Source organism: Homo sapiens, chromosome 2, assembly GCF_000001405.40.
Source record: "Homo sapiens chromosome 2, GRCh38.p14 Primary Assembly".
Lineage (NCBI taxonomy): Eukaryota > Metazoa > Chordata > Mammalia > Primates > Hominidae > Homo > Homo sapiens.
Window position 1 is genome coordinate 112,838,925 of NC_000002.12, and position 6,032 is coordinate 112,844,956.

Sequence of the window (6,032 nt, forward strand, 5' to 3'; positions counted from 1 at the left end):
CCCTTCTCTCTCTCTTTCTCTTTCTCTCTCTCTCTCTCCTAGACAGGATCTACCTTTATCCCCCAGGCTGGAGTGCAGTGGTACAATCATGCATTCATTGCATGATCACAGCAGCCTCAAACCCTTCCTCAGAGTCTTTATGCGGCAACCAGCAGGGTCTGGAGGGTTGGTGGCTCTGTGAACTCTCCTGACAGAACACAGAGATGTCTTTGGTCTGTTGATGTGATTACAAGCTGAACGAAGGAGGATCAAAGCCAGTGACAGGAAGGGAGATATGCAAGGGACCCGAGCATCAGCTCTGAGTTAGTCCATTCTGCTTCTGGGACTTGGGATACAGGTCAGAAACCTTGAGCTTCTACTTCTCCATCTTCCAATTGTAGCATCCAGGACCTCAGAATCTGCCAGCTAAGAGGAGCCCTAATGATTGTCTGGTGGGATATGGTGGGACCACAGAGATGAAGACATGAATAGCTATTTGAATGTGAACAGCAGACGAAGAAATCAAGGCTAGGAGGGTGGAAGTGACTCATCCAATAGCACAGTGTGGTTGAAGCAGCACTAGTATCCAGGTTGCATGAGCCCCTGATGCTTTCGCTCGAGGGAAATTTTGGAGCCATGGGGCAATGCCCCCTGACGTAACAGTCTCCACAGTTCTGCCATGTCTCATCCTGGCCCTGTAACCTGGACCCAAATCTGCTACCATCCCATCCATCTCAGGAAGTGAAACCTCTTATGTCAAATAGGTTGTGCAACGTATGTATCAGATCCTGTCTTCCCAAGGAGACCGCTCAGGCCACAGCACTTCCTTCCGATCCCCAATGAGCAGAAAATATCTCGCTATAAACATAGTTGGCACTAAGGGAGGGAGTGGAAGAGTGATGATGATGTAGATGGTGATGTAGCCCCAAGGAAGTGGAACAAGCAGAGATGGGGAGCTGGAAATGCCAGGATGCTCCAGCTTTTGGGGAATTATTCAGCTCTTGAGTCACTAAAGCCTTTCTCAGCTGCAAGTTCCTCTTTACCCTGTCAGGTCATTCTTCCAAGACAGGAGACTGACATTTATTCAAAGCAGCAAGTGCCCTGATACCATCTTGTGTCTAATCATGGGCTTCGCAGCCAGTTATCAAGGTTGATCTCATCTCATTGGTCTTCAATCATTTTGAACAAGAAGACAAGCAAAATAATCATGGGTTAGTTCTTATATTATTGTGTGTACATGCAGTGATGTCTGTTCTTTGTAGTGAGCTGTTCCTTCCTTGTTCACCCTCTTGCTTAGAACAGAACTAAGCAATCTGCCCCCAACATTTTCCCCAATTTCCCATCTCATTCTTGGCACTGGCTTCCTAATATTTGTTCTTATGAGTCATTTTCTTGTATCATTTCCATGAGTCCCTCTGGGATCTTAAAGTATGAAAAATGTTGTGTGTACCCACACCTGTCTTTGTGGATATTTCTCTCCTTTCCCTTCTGCTTCTGGGATTATTTGGGAATGGGCACTATGATTTTTATCATATCGCTTCCACTTCCTTTATGGCATCATCTCCAATGGGCTTCTTCTCCCTCTTGGATCCAGGTTCTCAGATTGGGGACATGCAGAGTCCAAGGGACATTCCATTCTCCTCCCTGGTCTAGAACAAGGAGGGCTTAGATATATGAGCAGGTGGCTGGGGCTGGCGAGCTATGTAGTCTCCAATGGCTTTTCCCTGATGTCGGAGTTGTTATGTCAGTTCTGGGAGACCAATAAGACCTTGTCCTTCCTTTGGATCCATCAGAAAAAGCCCCTGGGTGGGTAAGATGGATGGCAGGGCTCTCCTACTCTATGTCTTTTCTCACACCTAGTGGGTATAAGAGAGGGGACCACAAACAGAGGGGGCTCTGGTACCACTTATCCAGGGTCTGGAAACATTTTCTGTAAAGGGCCAGATAATAAATGTTTCAGGTACAACTACTCAACCTTGCATCATTTCAGAAAAGCAGTCAGATAATACATAAATGAATGGGTGTGGCTGGACTTGTCCTGCGGTCCCCTGTCTTATATCATTGTATTATATCATTTTTTCTTACATACAAATTTAGAAGCAATACTTAAAAAAAAAAAGCCGTCCTTTATTGAGCACCTACTAAGTGCCAGGTACCTTTTTTTCCCTCATTATCTTATTAACTCTTCATAATAACCTTTAAAGTAGATAATATTGAACCATTTGACCTATGCAGAAACTGAGGTTGAGACAATAAATTATTTAAGACCGCACAAACAGTAAATGCTGGAACTACGACTCAAATATGGGTTAACTGAACCAAAACCAGATCTTTATTTCTCACTTTTAATTGTTACATATGTTTATTGCCTCATCTCCTGTCCACATGGTGCCCATCGGCAGACTCCTTTCTCATTCTCAGTGATTGAGTGACATTCTAAACTACATTGGCCTGGCAGATTCACCTCTGTCCCCTAAATGTTTCCACATTGTCCTTTTAGGATTGAGATCCTCTCTGTTCCCTTGTCTTCCCTCCTTTCTTCTTCTGGCGGTGACGTGCTGTGTGAATTTGTTTCTTTCTCCTCTCAGGGTAGTACTGGGACTTTCCAAATCAGGGTTTTTAGTGATCTCTCTTCCCTTTTCTGAGTTTCTTCCTTATTCCCATTCACTTTCTCATCTATAAGTGGCAGCTTTGTTGCTGGAGGATTTCCTTTGTCCTTTTATTCTTCTTTAAGACTTTGTCATAACTGTCAAAAGCAATCCCTTGAAGGTATCTGTCCTTGGAATTGTGTGCTTATGATGCTGAAAAATACTTCTCTTCTAAAAGCTATGATAAAATGCTTCTCTCCCAAAATGTCTGTCGTTGCTGTATTCTACTCTCTGGTTATTACACAATCAAAGATGATTTGGTCATTTCCTTCCAGGACTTTGTTAATTTCACTTCTTCAGCTGCTTCCCCCTTGTTGGCTGGAACTGAGTTTTCTATCTTCTGGGAGAAGTCCTCAGCAAGGCCACTCAGGATTTGTTGGGTGCATTTTGTCAAGTCTAGGACCCAGGCTCTGGGTGACTGATTTCCTCTAATTACCGAGCAATGTAAAATGAGGAAGTCTGATTGTGTAAAGGTGTTAAACTTTTGTGTGACGGCAAAACTTTAATACCATGAATAGAGATTCCAGAATTTTCCAACTTCTAACGGGATTCCTTTCACTCCCTGACATTAGAATGTTAGAAAATCTACCACAAAACATCTGTGAGGCTATCCTACAAGGCCCGTTTTTCAAAATAGGTTTTTACAAGGATTGCTATTTGGGATGATAGTTTCAGAAAGGCGCTATCAAAGTTAATTGATGATGTGTGCAAGCTGAAAGTTATATGTTAGAACTAGCAGTGATTTCAAAAATATCCCTTTTAGGCTTTTTGCTAATATATCTGCTCATTTTCAAAGTTCCAAATATTATAAAAGTATTTAAAGCAAAAAGAAGAAGCCCTCCATTTCTGCTGGCCCACTTCCCTGTCTCAACTAGAAAGTATTTTCCCAGGCAATGCTATCCCAGGACTCACACTCCATCCATCCATCACCTACCATAAGTTCTTTGAAGGGCTCATTCTGAGCGCTTCCTGAGTGCCTGGGATCTGTTATTTCTCTCCATTTCTGCTGCTGCATGGTAGTCCAAGTCCTCCTCCCTTTTCCCCTAGGCCATTTGAATCATCTGCTAATTGGTTTTCCTGATTGCCACGGAAACTTCCTCCATCCCTTCCTCACATATCAGCCACAGAAGTATCTCCAAAAAGCAAATCTGGTGACATGAAGCCCTTGCACAAAACCCATTCATTACTGGTTCCACATCTCCTTTGTGGATAAGTTCAAGCTCCTGAGTGTGGCAAGCAGGGCCCACCTGGAATCCCCTGCCCTCCTCTCCTATCCCACGCATCAACCTTTCCTGTCTATTTGCAGTTCCTTGAATGTGATATTCTTTCTAGTCTCTGTGCTTTTGCATAACCTGTTCTTCCTGACTGGAAACTCCTTCTCCTCCTTGTAGTTTGGCTAATTTCTAGTCTTTCAAGACTCAGCTCATGCTTCACCCCCTCTATAACAAGTCCTTTCCCAAGCTGGGTGGTGGATGCTCCTCTGTGCTGTGTGAGTCTTGAACATCCTCAGCAAACCTCAGCTTTGTTTGCTTGTCTCCCTTGCTGTCAATGCACCTGATTCAGGGCTGGCATATACTGTTCACCTCCATGACTGGCTCATGGTGGTGCTCCGTGAATATCATCCACCCAAACGGATGAGAGCTACCATGCCATCACTTGTGACTTCCATCTGGAGCTAACCTCCCCCGACAGGAAAGCGTTTCCTTAGGAAAGAATATCTTTGGGTTAAATAGAAGTAGAGACTCACCAGAAGCACTATGTCCAGCTCAGAATGAACTGCTCAGTAAGCAGCCTTGTCAATGAGGAGGCAGCAGGCCAGCCCCAGAGGCCTCAAAGTGGGAGAGTAGAGAAGCGCAGTTCCTGCCACAAAGGCACAGTGGACACCTTGCTCCCCTGGCTGGCTGGAAGCAGATGGTGTCCACCTGCTTCCATGGGAATTCTGCACCTTTAATAAAGTTTTATGGGACAGGAAGGTGACTGGCATTGACATTGTAACGAGGAATGGGTGGTGCCACCTTTGCTGTGTCTTACCAGAAATACCTGTGGCAGGTAAATTTCTAGAGAGACCCTCCCATTTCTCCCATATAGCAATTTTGAAATGTTTCCTGAGGGCTTTCCAAATTCATCTGGGAACATAGGAGTTCCAGAAAGATGAAATCAAAGGTGATGGTATGCCAAAGAAAGTAGCTTTTAGAATGACTTACATTAGCCATTCATCCATTCAGCACACCAGGCATTCAGTTTGAGGGGTGTGTGTGTGTGTGTGTGTGCGCGCGCGTGCGTGTACATAGGGGAAGGGAAACAAAAGTACACAAGACATGATAGTTGTCCTCAAGGAGGTTTTGCAAATGTTCACAATTTAAGAGAATATGCTGTGCTGTGGCTGGTGTATAAACCAACTGCTAGGGAGAGGCCTTCCACACACACTTGGGGCAAATGCGACCTCTAGGACTGCCAGTGGAATCTGGGCATGCTGTTTGTGGTCGATAAACCCTGGTCCCTTGATCAGGGACCTATGTTTACTTTTCCTCTCCCTGGAAGTCTTCATTAGTGGGCATCCAGAAGGTCTTGCACAGGGCAGAGGGAGGCACAAAGACAAGAGTTTGAAACCAGCCTGGACAACAAAATGAGTTTCTATCTTTACAAAAAAAATTTTTAAAAAATTAGCCAGGTAGGATTGCATGTGCCTGTAGTCCCAGCTATTCAGGAAGCTGAGGCAGGAGGATTCCCTGAGACCAGGAATTTTGAGGCTGCAGTGAGCTATTAAGTTGGCGCAAAAGTAATCGTGGTTTTTATCATTAAAAGTAATGGCAAAACTTTTAATGACAAAAACCGTGATTACTTTTGCACCAATCTAATATGATTGCACGACTGCACTGTGCTCCAGCCTGGGCAACAGAGTGGGACCCTGTCACAAAATAATAAATAAATAAAATGTAAACATGTAAAAAAAACCCCAAAAACAAAAAAAATGGGTGTTGAGACCCCTGAATTGAGGAATAATAGGAAGGAGTGTGATTCTGTGTGTGCATGCATGGGTGTGCACCCTCAGTGCCTGGGTGGCTTACCCTGGGCTAGTTCAGGTGGCAAATGGTTTTCCTCCAGCTGGGCTACCACCATCTTCCCCCAGGGCCTGTCCATGTATTTGGTGGCAAGATACCTATGGACTAGAGTCCCTCCTCAGAGGAAAGGCTCCTCCCATTTCTCTGGCTTTCAGGTAGTAGTCCATGACTTCAACAGGTCCCCACTGCAATGTTATGGGTTAGTTTAGGTGGGGTCTCCTCTGAGAGCCTCCCATAGCCCAAAAGGCCCTGTCCTAGCTGGCACTGCATCTCCCTCTTCCCAGCTCTCAGCCTTTCTCTTTGCTCATCCCACTCCGCACAGGCTTTCTGCCTGATCCTTGGA

General features: G+C 44.9%; 1 long non-coding RNA gene across 1 annotated transcript; it reads left to right on the forward strand.

The window, feature by feature from the left end:
• On the forward strand, positions 868 to 5,279 carry AMANZI (a master non-coding RNA antagonizing inflammation). The gene has a single exon (NR_197592.1). It is a non-coding gene; the product is annotated as an a master non-coding RNA antagonizing inflammation (long non-coding RNA).
• The last annotated feature ends 753 nt before the right edge of the window (positions 5,280 to 6,032 follow it).